Genomic DNA, 15,151 nt, shown 5'->3' with positions numbered 1-15,151 from the left:
GGAATTAATATATGTGGACAGGGTGTGACCTGATTGTTGAGAGCTTTGAACATCAGTTTGTGGAGTTTGTATTTTATCCAGAAGACAATGAAGAGGCATTAGGATTGGGGCTGGGCAGGCAGTAGCTGATGAAATGGACTCTGCCACGCTTAACAAAAATGGGGCAGCATCAAACAAAGAGCAATCTAGGCAGGAAGTGCAGCTGGGTCGCCTGTCCAGCCTGCAGCCCTGGATGGCAGTCTCCCTCAGACACTGTGAACGGGCATGTGAAAGCCCTCTTCCTGCAGAGGACAGCAATTAGCCAATTTCAGAATTGACTTCATGTTAGCTTTTAATTTTAATATCCAATTTAATGTTCCAAATGTTGGTTTGTTTAAATCATCCCATAAGCACATTTGCAGATGTTTCTTCTTTTTCCCTTTTTTTTTGGAGACAAAGTTCCCCTGTTACTCAGGCTGGAGTGCAGTGGCGCAATCATAGCTCACTGCAGCCTTGAATTCCCGGGCTCAAGTGAACCTCTTACCTCAGCCTCCCAAGTAGCTGGGACTACAGGCGCACGTCACTATGCCCAGCTAATTTTTAAAAATTTGTAGAGACAGGGTCTTGCTATGTTTCCCAGGCTGGTCTCAAACTGCTGGGCTCAAGTGATTCTCCTGTGCTGTCCTCCCAAAGTGCTGGGATTACAGGTGTGAGCCACCACACCCAGCCTGTAGATGTTTTTTTGATGGTAGTGGCTAGGCTGGTTCTAGGTGTAAACAGCAGCTTCTTTATGACAGGCTACATGTTCTGCTTCTGGGCTGGGATATGTGAAGAAATAACCCTTCAGCTCTAGGGTAGATGTACGTCCAGTCTCTGCTTCACCTCCCATCTGACTTCCTTTTCCCCTGCTGGAACCCACAGACCTACAACAGGACTTTGGGCCCATCCAGGCTGGACATGGCAGGGACATGGCAGCAACGTATTTTTCTACAGAATCAGGTCATCCTTGCAGCTCCTTTGTTTCTCTCAATTTTCCTTATTTATTTTCTTTGTTTTCCCCTTGGTCCTGATTTTCTATTTCATTAACTTTGTTATGTATTTCTTCTGCTGAAAAGAACATCAGATACATTTTGGAAAAAGGCAGGCTATAAATAAAACCAATAAAATAAAATAAAACAATAGGATGCCTTGAAAAATATACATGTTTATTGTAGAAATTTTATGAAATGTAGACAGATATAAAGCAGAAAGTGAGAATTATTCTTTTAGAGAACACCAGAATTAACATTTTGGCATGTACCTTTTTGTATTTTTACATAAAATTTATATATTTGTATATTATACTTTATATGTTGACATACAGATATTATTATGGTTTAAGCATCCTCTCCAAAACTCATGTTGAAATGTAATTGCCAGTGTAATAATATTAAGAAGTGAGACCTTTAAGAGGTGATTAGATCCTGAGGGTTCTGCTATCATGGGTTGATTAATGCCATTATCCACTGGAGCGGGTGAGTTATCATGGGAGTGGGTTCCTGATAAAAGGGGTAAGTGTGGCCCAATTTCCTATCTCTGTCCCTCCCACTTGCTTGCCCTTCTACCTTCCATCATGGGATAAATCAGCAGGAAGGCCCTCACCAGATGCTGGCACCATGGGCTTGGACTCCCCAGACTCTAAAACCAAGCACCAAATAAATTTATCTGCTTTATAAATATGCAATATTTTTATGAGCAGCACAAAATGGACTAAGACAGATATAGATATATATACACACATTGATTAAATATGCAATAACAATAAAATGATTAAATATGTAATTACAAATTGATTAAAATGTAATAAAATAAAGCAATCATAAATACTGTATTTTATAACCTGCTCAAGTCCCATATATAAAATAATGTAGAATTTGCATATAACCTACTCATGTCCTCCCAAGTACTTTAAATCATCTCTAGATTTTAATAATACCAACATAAATGTTATGTAAATACATAGTTGTTATACTGTATTTTTAAAACTGGTATGATTTATCTTTTAAAATTTTTTTTCTGGATATTTTTGATTGGACATTGGTTGAATCTGAGATATCAAGCAGGTGGATATAGAGGGCTGACTGTATTTCATGCTACACAACAATTTAAGAAGAATTTGATTAGATCTTTAAAGGAGCTCAGAAATTAGATGATAAAATATCTGAATGAGGTGGAATTGGAGGTTGCAAAGCTAAGGAAAGAAAACGAGGAATAAAACACTATCACTATAAAAGTAATTAACTAAAAACAGAAAGGAATAGAATAATCATGGCTGAAAATGTAATCATTGAAATTCAGGAAAAGCTAAAGATAATTTTGTTAAACAGAGGCTGGGTGTGGTGGCTCATGCCTGTAATCCTAGCACCTTGGGAGGCTGACACAGGTGGACCACAGGAATTCAAGACAAGCCTGGGCAACATGGCAAAACCCGGTCTCTACAAAAAATACAAAAATTAGCTGGGCGTGGTGGCATACACCTGTAGTCCTAGCTACTCAGACGGCTGAGGTGGGAGGATAGCCTGACCCAGGGTTTTGAGGCTGCAAGTGAGCCATGATCACACCACTGCACTCCAGCCTGGGTGACAGAGTGAGACCCTGTCTCAAAAAAAACAAAACAAAAAAACTTAAGTGATTTATTTACTTAATTTTGAGACAAGGTCTCATTCTGTCACCCAGGTTGCTCACCGCAACCTCCACCTCTCAGGCTCAGGTGATCTTCCCACCTCAGCCTCCTGAATAGCTGGGACCACAGGCATGCACCACCACACCTGGCTTATTTTTTCGTATTTGTTTTTTGAGAGGAGGTTTTGCCATGTTGCCCAGGCTGGTCTTGAACTCCTGTACTCAAGCAATTTGCCCTACTTGGCCTCTTAAAGTGCTGGGATTACAGGCATGAGCCACCACACCTGGCCAAAACTTAGATGATTTATAAAAGAGAATAAAAGAAATACAGAAAAAGATGATAACAGCTATGGAATAGAGATAATAATAATCAAATGTTGATAAACATGAAGTAAAGAACTCAATGAATAGAAAAGTTGTTAAAAGATTTCATAGAAGAAAAATTTCTCTGGAATGAATACCTGACTTTGATGTAAAAGACAAACTATATTGTAGAATAAAATTGGTCCAGATGATAGACTCTGAAATGTATCCTTTTAAATTTATTGGAGAAAGAAAAAGATAGGCATTCTTTAGGTCATCATGCAGAATAAGCAAGTCTTTTGAACAAGGGTCAGATTATTACGAGACTTTCCACAGCAACAATATAGTCAATGGAGCAATGTCTATAATTATGAGAGAAAGCATGAAATAAAACAAAACATCAGCAATTATCAAACATAAAAAAAGCAGGGAATAATTACTTTAGAGCCATTCTAGAAGCGAATAAATCAACTACTTTGTGGTAAAATTCCAGTAAACCAAGAGACAAGTGGAGATGCCTTTAGAAAAAAAAAAAAAAAAAGCAAAAACACCAAAACAAGTGGATCAACACATGTAAAAACACAGTGAGATAATACCCAGAAAGTTCTGAGGTAAAGAGTGTGACAATAATTTTATAGCCACGTTGATTTTCTAGTAGAAAGGGGAGGACTCTCTCTCTGTCCCCCAACATACACTTGTGGAAATTGCATTTGGTGCTCAGACCCAGAACTGTTGCAAAACAGAGCTAAAGTCCTCTAATGCCAAGCAGGAGCTCTGGTGGCCCTTTTCCTTGAGACCACTGCTGTTTCTGTGCCATCTTTTATTCTGGTCTCAGTATCTCTACTACTTCAATTTCTAGCCCCTCCTGCTTTGCCAATAGAAAAAGCACAATAGTTCGTGTAGGGATTTTGCATGATATTCATGAATGAGGTTAGACTGTAATGTTACTTTCTAATAATGTCTTTGTTCTGTTTTCAAATTAAAGTTATGTTTGCCTCATAATACGAGTTAGAGTATCTTTCTACGGTTTAAGATTGGAACTTTTTTTTTTTTTTTTTTTTTTAATTAGATGGAGTCTCTGTCACCCAGGCTAGAGTGCAGTGGCAAGATCTTGGCTCACTGCAACCTCCATCTCCTGGGTTCAAGCAATTCTCCTGCTTCAGCCTCCCGGGTAGCTGGAATTACAGGTGTGTGCCACCACGCCCAGCTAATTTTTGTATTTTTAGTAGAGACGGGTTTCACCATGTTGGCCAGGCTGGTCTCCAGTTCCTGACCTGAGGTGATCCGCCTGCCTTGGCTTCCCAAAGTGCTGGGATTACAGGCATCAGCCACTGTGCCCAACCAAGATTTGAATTAATTTTTAAAAATGTTATAATGTAGTACATGTTTCAGTTGTGAGCTTCTGTATTGATAGTGTAGTAGTAAAAACAAAGTCTGATGTTACCAGTGGTTTGAAATTTACTGAGATTTATTTTATGGCCTGGTACAAAGTCAATTTTTACAAATACTTCATTTGCACCTCATCTGTTCTCTCTGATTATTGATTCCAGATATATATACATGGCTATTAAACCAAGACTGTTTATTATGTTGTTCAAATTTTCTATATCCTTATTTTTTAATTTAATAAAAGATTAAATTTTGTCTTGAAACCATACATTTCTTAGATAGGCATCTTAAAATCTCCCACTATGATGGAAAAATTTTTATTTCTCCTAGTAGTTCTGTCAAACTTTGCTTTATATATTTCAAGCCCATGTTATTAGAATCCTATATATCAATTAAGTAAATTATAACATTAATGCTTAACTTCTAAAGTTAACCAATATGTTTGCTTTCCATCCCAAACAATGCAGGACCTTGGGCCATCATCATTCCAATTATGCCCTTCTTTCCTTTTATGATATTTCTGTCATATGTTTGCATTGTATCTTGTTTTACTTTCTCTTCATAAGACATTATTATTTTCTGATATTTATTTATTTGGTTTTGTAGTATACTCCCATGTTTCAAAATACAATATATGAGGTGAAAATTCAATCAAAAATTCTTTCTCCCACTACTGACTACCACCTCGCCCCATAGAAGACTTATGTAATCATCTGATATTTCTTAGTATTCACAGAACTATGAATATGAATTCTTATTTTTCTACTTTCACATACAACAGTCAGCATAATGCAAACACTTCTGTACTTTGAGTTTTTAAACTTAACAGTATATCTCAGTGATCTTTCACATCAATATATAGGATTGTCATCATTCATTTTTGTATAACAATATTCCATTGTATGGATGTATAATAATTTGTTTAATGAGAGCTTTATTGTTGGAAACTTGGGTTGTCTCCAATCTTTCTAATACAAACAATGATGTAATGAGTACTCTATATTGTAGTGAACACTGGTCAATTTCTACAAGGGTAGTTAAATCTGTGAGATGAATTCCCAGAATTAGGGTTGCCAGGCCACAGGGTAAATGCCTTTTTAATTGCACAGATTTTGCCAAATTGCCCTTGTGGATTTGATTTGCTAATACTTTGATAAAAAATTTTGCATCTATGTGCATGAGTGAGATTGATTTATAATTTTGCTTTCTTACCATTTTTTTGGTCATTTTGTGTATCAGGATTATTTTTGCCTCAAAAAGGGAATTTGGGATGTTCTTCTCCCACCCCGCCGTAGAGTTTGTATAATATTGGCTTTATTTTTTTCTTAAATATTTGGTAGAATTTGTTAGTGAGTCCATCTGGGCCTGAAGTTTTCCTTGTGGGAAGGTTTTAAATTACAGATTAAAATTTTTAATTGAATTATATAGTCTGTCATTACTGAAAGAGGAAACTGAGGCCTCGTTATAGAAAGATACTTTGGAAAAAAATTCAGGCTGACATGATTTCTCTCAGCACAGAGAGTTAGTTGACGGTAGTAGTTAAGAGCATAGTCTCTGAAACAAGGCCAACTTGGTTTGAATTCTGACTCTGACATTTACTAGCTGTGTGGGAAAATTAGTTAAGCTTTCTGGTTCAGTTTTCTTGTGTGTAAAATGTGCATAATAGTAATGCCTACCTCATTGTGATTTTGAAGATTAAACGGGTTAATGTAAGTAAAGCACTTCTGGGTACATCATAGACACAAATAAGTACTAATTTCCATTGTTGAAGATGTTATCCCACTGTATTCTGGTTTACATTGAGAAGAGTCTTGTAACACAATTTTTCTTCCTTTGATAGTAATTTATCTTTCCTTCCTGGCTACTTTTATAATCTGCTCTTTGTTTTGGTATTTTCTAGTTTGATTATGATGTATCTCAGAATGTATTTCTCTATCCTCTTTCTTCTGAAATCTTTGGATTAGAGTACTTAATCCGTTCTAGAAAATGCTTACCTCTTATTTTTTATTCAAAGATTGCTTCTGCCTGGTTCTCCTTCTCTTCTTTCTGGAATTCTGATTGAAATCTGTGGATTAGAGTACTTAATCTGTTCTAGAAAATGCTTACCTCTTATTATTATTTTTTTTTTTCAAAGATTGCTTCTGCCTAGTTCTCCTTCTCTTCTTTCTGGAATTCTGACCATAATGTGTTGTACCTTCCTACTCCATCGTTCATGCCTCTTGACTTCTTTTTGGTATTTTTCCATCTCTTCATCTATTTGTGGCTAATTTTAATAATCTCTTTAGTCCTCATTTCTAGTTCACTATGTGTCTCTTCAGCTATGACTAATCTGCTTTGCAGTCAATCATTAAGGTTTTAATCTCAATTATTAGTTTTTTAAAAAACTTCCAGAAGTTTTGTTTGGTTCTTTTTGAAATGGTTGGGCACACTTCATATTTTTAGTTCCCTGTTCATTTTCAAGCGTCCCCTCTATTTCTTTAAGCATGGTAAACATAATTTTATTTTTATTTTTATTTTTTGAGGCAGAGTCTCACTCTGCTGCCCAGGCTGGAGTGCAGTGGTACGATCTTGGCTTACTGCAACTTCTGCCTCACCGGTTCAAGTGATTCTCCTGCCTCAGACTCCTGAGTAGCTGGAATTATAGGTGCCTGCCTGACTTATTTTTTGTATTTTTAGTAGAGACGGGTTTCACCATGTTGGCCAGGTTGGTCTTGAACTCCTGACCTTGGGTGATCCACCTGCCTCGGCCTCCCAAAGTGCTGTAATTACAGGAGTGAGCCACAGCTCCCAGCCAAGCATAGTGAACATAATTTTAAATAATGTTTCTGAATAATTCTAAATCTAAAATGTTTCATGATGTTTCCACCCTTTCTTGTTTTGGCTTATTCTCAAACATGGCACCTTGTTTTCTTGGGTATTTTATGATGTTAAATTCTAAGCTGCTCCTTGGAACTTTATCTGTAGGAATTCTCTGGGGGCTGGGCAGAAGGTAGGTCCTCCAGAGAGAAACTTCAGTTGCTTCTGCTGTGTACCTTAAGGCAGTATCATAGTCTGGGATGACTTGAAATCCTATTTTTTGCTTGCGGTTTTACAAAACATGAGGAAGTAAAAATTTGGGCCACAAATTTAAGTACATTTTAAACTTAATCTTAATACTTAAAAAATACCAGTTAGTAAAATCTAGTTGTGTGTCTGAGGGTCCATCTGTGTGTTTTTCTCTGTATATGTGCTCAGAGTTATTAGAAATGAAATCTACAAACATTAATAAGGCTTATTCCTAGGTAATGCAATTTAATGAGTTTTACTTTGTTGTATTTTGTATTGCTTAATTTTATTTTGTTATGACTACTATTTGCCCCCCACCCAATACAATAAAGTCCTTGCTTTAAAAACAAACAAATATGCGAAAACTTTGCTATAACACATTAAATACCTTCCCTCAATCCAACTGGAGGCGTCCTGCCTGGGCCTCCCCTGTGCTTCTGTTCTGTAACTGGATTCCTGCCCTGTGCTCTGTGTCTAGGTCCCTGTTTGTAACCTTGGATTAGAGTCCTGTCTCTGGTTTCTAATCCAACGTCTCCAGCTTCAGTACTTGCTGACAGACTTATCAAGCCTGCCTGCTAGGTTTTAATATCTGGCTCACATCAAGAGTTCTTTTGCCAGGGCCTGGCCAGCAGGTTGCTCTTGTCAGATCCTTGCTGCCAGTTCCTGTCTTGCTGTTGCACCAGGCTCCTCTGTCAGCCCCTCCAGATGGTGTGCTCTGCTGGCTCCACTGCAGTCCTCAGCTCCTTCTGCTGGACCGGGGCTTCCCTTAGGAAAAAGCTACTTGTAGGTACCAGTTGGTCTGTCTCTAAATCCCTCCCTCCCTAGCTCTCTCCCTCTCTCATTCTAGTCCCTTTCTTCCCATCTCGCCTGTCCTCATCACTCCCTTCCCCACCTTCCCCTTCTCCTCTCTATTCTATCCCACCCCTCTCTTCTTTCCTCTCTCCTTCTATCCTCTTTCTCTTTTATTCTTCTCCTCCCCTTGGCTGCCCTCCCATTCCCTCCCTTGATCCTTCTTTCCTCTTTTCTTTTCTGATTCATTCTTCCTCCTCCCATTTCTTATCTGTAAAATGGTTTGTACAGGTGATTAGATTAAATAATAAAATCTAGATTGCTTAGCATACTGTTGGATACATAGTCAATGCCATTATAAATTATTACATATTTGATAAATCATTAATTCATTCATTCAACAAACTTTAATATCCTATCATGCACCAGGGATAGTGCTAGGCATTCATGATTGAGTCACAACCAAGTAAGGAGAATAACCAGGGAACAGACACATGCTCCAGGGTTGGCTGGCTGGTCTGTGCTACTAGGTGCAACGGTATGTGTCCCCTTGTATACAGAGGCCATGGATTGTCAGGCCTGTGGCAGAATTCAAGAGCACTACTCCACAGCTGGTTAACATTGCCCACTGAAGGATCTGTTTCCTGATTTGTTTTCCTCAGCAGAGTGTTATTGCCAAGAAGATGGATGTCCATACCTCTAAATATATGGAGCTTTTTGGTTGGCACAGAACTATAAGTCAGCCTGCCTGGACTCTAAGCCTGGGACATTCCCAGAACAGAATTCAGAAAAACTATATTTGAGTGATTTTTATAAACAAGGCAGTAGATAGGAAATAACGGGGTGTAGGTGCTTGCCGCACCTTTTTCAGGAGGTAAGCCGGATCTCTGCAAGACTTGAGATTTCTTTTTAAAAGGAATCTACGCAGTCTCTGAGTTTCATTATGAGCCAGACTTGGGCTCCCAGTACCAATTCTTGTCCAGAAAATTTTGTCTTTGGAAAATAAGATGTCCCAGAAGACAATTTTATACAAGTAGTTGAGCTGTTTTTAAAGTGCCATTGAGTGTGAAATGTATGATTTCCACCTGTATTGGACATTTGGCCTTTGAGGCAGGCCCCCTGTCAAGCTCCTGTGCAGGGTCACTGTCCGGAGGAGGCACGGCAGGGCCAGCTTGGAGCTGCAGTGCAACCTGGCAGCCCTGTTGCCAGGCTGGGGCCTGCAGGCTCTCAATCTTCATGTTATTTATGTAAGTCTGTCTTAGCTCCCTCTCTCCAGGTCCCCTTTCCTGGGCTGACCTCTGGATGCACACAGCTGGGCTCCCTCTTTCCTCCAGGCTGGATCACGTGACCTGGAACTTCTGATATTGAACCTGCCATCAAAATCTGCCTGTCACTTGTCCCAACCCCTTAGATTCCTGCTCACTCTTAGAGACCTGAGGTCAATGAAGATGTTGCATTACATCACAGCTTTCCCTGGTTGGAAAGTTAACAATGTCCCTACCAGATAACATAGAGGCTGGGGTGACAATGCACATCTTCTAAAGTCCTTTAGGAATTAGCCTGTTGAGGAATTTTTCACACACTATAGCAGGTGGGTAAGGGAGATATTTAAGGACCTGTGGGATTTTCCTTATTTCTCAAATCATACACATTTTGTGGCTACTTTCTTTGTATATAAAAAGGACTGGTCTTCATTGTAAAACATCTACAGCAAAAGGTTCAGGGACTGGAAGGACCAACCCAGGTCTGTAAGGAAGGTGAGAGTCTGGCTGTTGAGTCAGTCTCATTTCCTTGGGCTGTTGTTCGCTGGATCCCAGCTAGCAAGTCTCTTTATCTTTTTGGGTAACAATTCTGTCATATACGTTTCTTCAGATTTTCAAAGTAATACATGCTCATTTTAGGTAACTAGAATGCACAAAATAAAAAATATGAGTCATTCATCATCCTACGATCTAATTAGACCCACAGCTGCCATTTGGTATATGCGCTTCTGATCAGAGACAGATCGATAGATGGAGAAGCCTCAACATCACTCCATTTAGCTTGGTGGAGATAAGGCAGTTATTATAGTTCTTTAACTCTAGAACCGTGGTTCTCAAGGTGTCATCCCTGAACCAGCAGCATTGGCATCATTTGGGACTTGTTAGAAATGCAAATTCTCAGGTCCCACCTCAGATCTTCTGGGAATCAGAAATTCTAGGGGTTAGCCCAGCAATCTGTGATCAAATAAGCTCTCTAGGTGATTCTAATGCACACCAAAGTCTGAGAATTACTGCTGTATAATGAATCGGACCCTCTGAACCAGTGCCCCCTCCTGACCCCTATCTCATCTGCTCTGAGGGATTGCTAGAAGAGCGCCTCAATTTAGCTCAGTTGAGTTTAAGCTTAATCCAAGCCCACAATTTATAGTCTTTTTAGATTTAACGTCATCTTCTTGGGACAATTGCTCAGGCTTTTAGATTCTTTCCCTGCCTGTCTCACGCATCTCTTCTCATAATGACATTTGGGAGATCAGGGGATGATCCTTACATGTCCACATGGCTAGATGGACCCCTGCCTTGTGCTGGCACCTCCAGGGGTGCTGCCTGCTGTTGCTGAGATACAGCTAGCCTGGTCTCATCTTTAGACATTCTGCTGGCATTTTCCCAGGCATCTGTGGACTGCTGACATGTGTCCTGTTCTCTCCCTCAGCTTGTTCAGAATCCAGGGGCCTCCCCCTGCTACCTAGGGTCTTCTCCTAACTCCCATGGGTACTGTAGACCCTGGGTTTCTTCCATGTCTTCCACTTGCCCTGACCCAGTTGGTCCACATAGGCTGTCCCCTGTCCAGGTCTTAGCTCAGGGTCCCTGCCCATGATGCTTATGCCAATCAGCAGTGACTTTCTGCCTTTTTAGCCAAGCTGGGGTCAGGTCATGTGTCACAGGGTGCTTTGCACAGCAGTTCTTTCCCTGAGCCCCAAGGGGAGAGTAGGTTCAAGTCCTGTCTACCTCAGTGGTCCCGTGAGCTCTTGGGACACAGTTTCTTCTCCCGGAACATCTTCCCCACTCTTTCTCCATTTATCTTCCCTCCAATCTCTTAAGCAAAGCCGCTGATGTATTGACTGGTCCATTGTCACCAGTTCCCAGCTTTCAGGCCTATCTCGGGTAAAATCCTATTGTGAATGTCAACAACGAAACAGCAATTCTTTCTCTTGGCATCTGTAACAATGCCTTGCCCTGAGGCAGATGGATGTAGGATGGTAAAATAGGAAAACACAACAATGTTTCCAAATCTTCCCCTCTTTTCATAATCAAATATATACAGAATTTTTATATAATTTGGATTCTACTGCACGTACTTTTAGATAGGTCTTTTTTTGTCACTTATCCATATGCCATGAGCACTGTTTCCATGTCATTAAATACTTTTCTACAACATGACTTTTAATGGCTCTGAGGAATTCAATTAAATGTGTGGTGGGAAGGAAAATAAATTGCTATTTTAAAACCTTTTGGCAGTTTGTCTTGGTTTCTCTAGGGTGTGGTGGTGGCAAACTTCATTTTAGGGAGACTTTTCATTGTTGTTGTTACTGGGATCAAAGAAACACTTCTATGGGCCTTTTGAATACGCAAAGGCAGGGACCAATGCCTGCATTAGGGCCATAGTTTGAGACAAAAAGGGAGATGGCAGGCAAGGTGCGGTGGCTCACACCTGTAATCCCAGCACTTTGGGAGACTGAGGTGGTGGATCACTTGAGGTCAGGAGTTCGAGACCAGCCTGGCCAATATAGTGAAACCCCATCTCTACTAGAAATACAAAAATTAGCCAGGCATGGTGGCACATGCCTGTAACCCCAGCTACTGGGGAGGTTGAGGCAGGATAATTGCCTGAACCTGGGAGGCGGAGGTTGCAGTGAGCCAAGATCACGCCATTGCACTCCAGCCTGGGTGAAGAAGCGAGCCTCCATCTCAAAAAAAAAAAAAAAAAAAAAAGGAGATGTCAGAGTCGTTCTGGTGGTTGTAGAGTTTTGGCTTCCTGTGGGGACTGTGAGTCAGGGATTACAGGCCTAGGACCCAGGCACTTGAGAAGAACTTAGATACATGTAAGAGTGTAGTCTACCAAGGGGAGGTGGGCCAGGACAAACAGGCGAGATGACTAGCAAGAAGTGTTTAAGCAGGTATCCAGGCAAGCAGGAGCAGGGCAGGAGAGGCCCCCCAACACCTCCACAAGAATGCTAGGCAACCATCAGGTGATGGTCAGGTGGTTGTTAAATTGTCTCGCTAAAATAATAATTGGTTGTAGCTGGTGCCAGGGAAAGGCAGTCTCCCAATAGATAGAAAACAGCTAAAGCTGGTGATCAGCCTCCCAATAAGATCTTAGAAGTTGGGCGAGAGGGCCCAGGAATGCCTAAAAGGCAAAATGGCGGCACTTAACGGGTGTGTGACCTTCCTATAGGAACGCTCCACTGGCAAGGGGAGAATGCCTCAGATAAGCATGTGCACAACTTCAGTAAACACACTGCGCATGCAGCCCCTCCCAGGCGCTGGCAGGCTACTGCGCATGTGTGCTGGCAGGCTACTGCGCATGTGCACAGCCTGCCTCAAGGGAAACTCAAAGGAGGAGAGATGCAAAATGTCGGAAGCATGGAAGCTATAAAACCCCAAGTCAATGGTCAAACAGGGCACTCGAATCTCTCAGGTCACCTGCTTGGCCCTCTTCCAAGTGTACTTCATTCCTTTCATTCCTGCTCTATAACTTTTTAATAAACTTTCACTCCTGCTCTAAAACTTGCCTCAGTCTCTCACTCAGCTTTATGCCCCTTTGATGAACTATTTCCTCTGAAGAGGCAAGAATTGAGTTGCTGCAGACCCGTACGATTTGCCACTGTTAACAGAAGCAACTTAAAGTATGAGAGATGGATTTAGGAATACTGAGGTCTGACTTGGAGATAGAAGTTTTAATTACACATCTAAGTGATGCCTTGAGAAATTAATGAAGGGGACTGTTTCCATGTTGCTGGTAAACTAGAAAGGGGATAAAAATGTGGCCAAAAGACATGAGAAGCCAAAAACAACATGAACACCAGAGGTGACAGCTACTCCCTGTGAATTTTTAGAAATACTCAAAAATCCCTGCCTCATAAAGAATGGGTAGTTCAGTTGTTTTATTGGAATATTATGCATTTGGGTAATTACAGAAGGCTGGAAAACCGGGGATACTTTAACAATAAGTATATTTTAATTTATTTAACCACCACTTATTTGGGGTATTTTTTCCCATTTTCCACTATTATTTAGAACACTGCTATAAACAGCTTTACAGATTAAAGTTTTGAGCGCATTATTGATTGCTTCCTTGGGGCACATTTCTAGAAGGGGAATTGCATGGGTGATGGCTATGCCCATCTTAAACACTTGTGATATAGAACAATTTTAAGTCTTTGACTCCTCAGGAAGAATAGTCATTTGTAGGGTCTGACTCTACTATAACTGCTACTTTTCATGTAGCCCCTGAACCAGATGGAGAATTCCAGTGTTTGATGGCATGATCACCCATATGGGTGGGGACACGCTGAGCGGGTCACATGTCTCTCTCAGACTTTCCTAGTTTCAAAACCAAGGATGATTCATTATCAACCTTGTCAGTTTGATTTCACAGAAATTACATTTAGAAAGTGCACACAACTCTTTATATACTAAAAAAATCCGTAGATATTAATAATATTGAATTCTCTGCCCTTTCTTTTTTCAGGGTGAGAGAAACTTGAAGACTTCAGTCCTTTTTGTATCTATGACTCCGGAAAGGAAAGAAAAATAAACCATGTAGAACCTGCTTGCTGTCCTGTCCTCTGCCAGCCGTTGGCCTCAGTAATCGGATTCAAGGATATGTATGACCTACTTTTTGAATCACTGCAGCCCAGGCTGCGCAATTTCTTATGTTCTCTTGCTGAGAAACCAACATACAAGCAGAGATTGTGTATTTTTCTGTAAAGGTAGAGGTAGGCGCTTCTGGAAATTCTGGAAACCTTTCCAAGTTTACAGCACAAACGACCGGAATGTTAAGAAGGGCTTTTGTTAACAGGTCTGTTTTGCTAGGATTCTGCAGGGGGTTGGAGCCCTGGGGAGGCTTCTTCTTGTCCCCATTGGTGTTGATTCTGTCTCTGATATTCACTGGTAGCAATCAGATCTCACCTGGCATAAAGCACTGGCTCCATCTGTTTTCTAGGAGTGGATTTTTTTTCCATTAAGAATAGAGTCATCTCAGTATGAACGGCTGATACAAGGGGAAAAAGAAGCATTTCCAGCAGTGCTTGTTTACCAGTCCTTTATGACCAAATTGATGCAAAGTGGGCCACAAACATGTTTGTTGACACCTGGAGTGTCCAAACTCCAGAAATAGATAAGAGTCCCTCATGAAAATATATATAAAGCAAAGAGATAGAAGAAATTGATTAAACCCATAAAGATATGGACAAGGAAGAGAAAGCAACCAACATTTACCGTGTCTTTCTATTAATAGCTACCCAACACTGTCCTGGAGGCTTTTTAAAGAGCTTATCTCATTGAAGCCAAGGCTGGGGCTAGCGAGAGGCCAATGAGGTGAGTCATGCTTCTGCAGGGGTGGATTCTGTCTTTATTTAGAATTTTGAAATTTTGTTCCTTATGGATTTTTTGCATTGATTTTGATTTTTTTTAAAAAAGATTCCTCTATTGAGTTGAATAGTATCTCTCCAAAATTCATGTCCTCTCCAAACCTCAAAATGTGAGCTTATTTGGAAATAGAGTCTTTGCAGATGTAATTGGTTGTGATGAAGTCATTCTAGATTAGAGTGGAGTCTAAATCCAAAGACTGCAGTCCTTATTAGGAGGTTGTGTGAACACACAGAGACCCAAGGGGAAGGTGGTCAATGTGAAGACAGAGGCAGCAATTGGAGTGAGGCAGCAATTGGAGTGATGCAGCTACAAGCCAAGGAGCACCAAGGACAGCCAGCAGCCAGCAGAGCTAG

General features: G+C 40.5%; 1 long non-coding RNA gene across 1 annotated transcript in view; it reads left to right on the top strand.

The window, feature by feature from the left end:
- Nucleotides 1-15,127, top strand: part of LOC105373628 (uncharacterized) — a 45,070-nt gene extending 29,943 nt beyond the window's left edge. The window contains exons 4-5 of the long non-coding RNA XR_001739715.2: nt 13,897-14,226; nt 14,665-15,127. This is a non-coding gene — a long non-coding RNA (uncharacterized LOC105373628). The remainder of the gene's footprint in view (nt 1-13,896; nt 14,227-14,664) is intronic.

The sequence above is a fragment of the Homo sapiens genome, chromosome 2 (assembly GCF_000001405.40).
Source record: "Homo sapiens chromosome 2, GRCh38.p14 Primary Assembly".
Taxonomy (NCBI): Eukaryota; Metazoa; Chordata; class Mammalia; order Primates; family Hominidae; genus Homo; species Homo sapiens.
The sequence above is the reverse complement of the archived record's forward strand: the minus strand, read 5'-3'. Positions and strand labels throughout refer to the sequence as shown.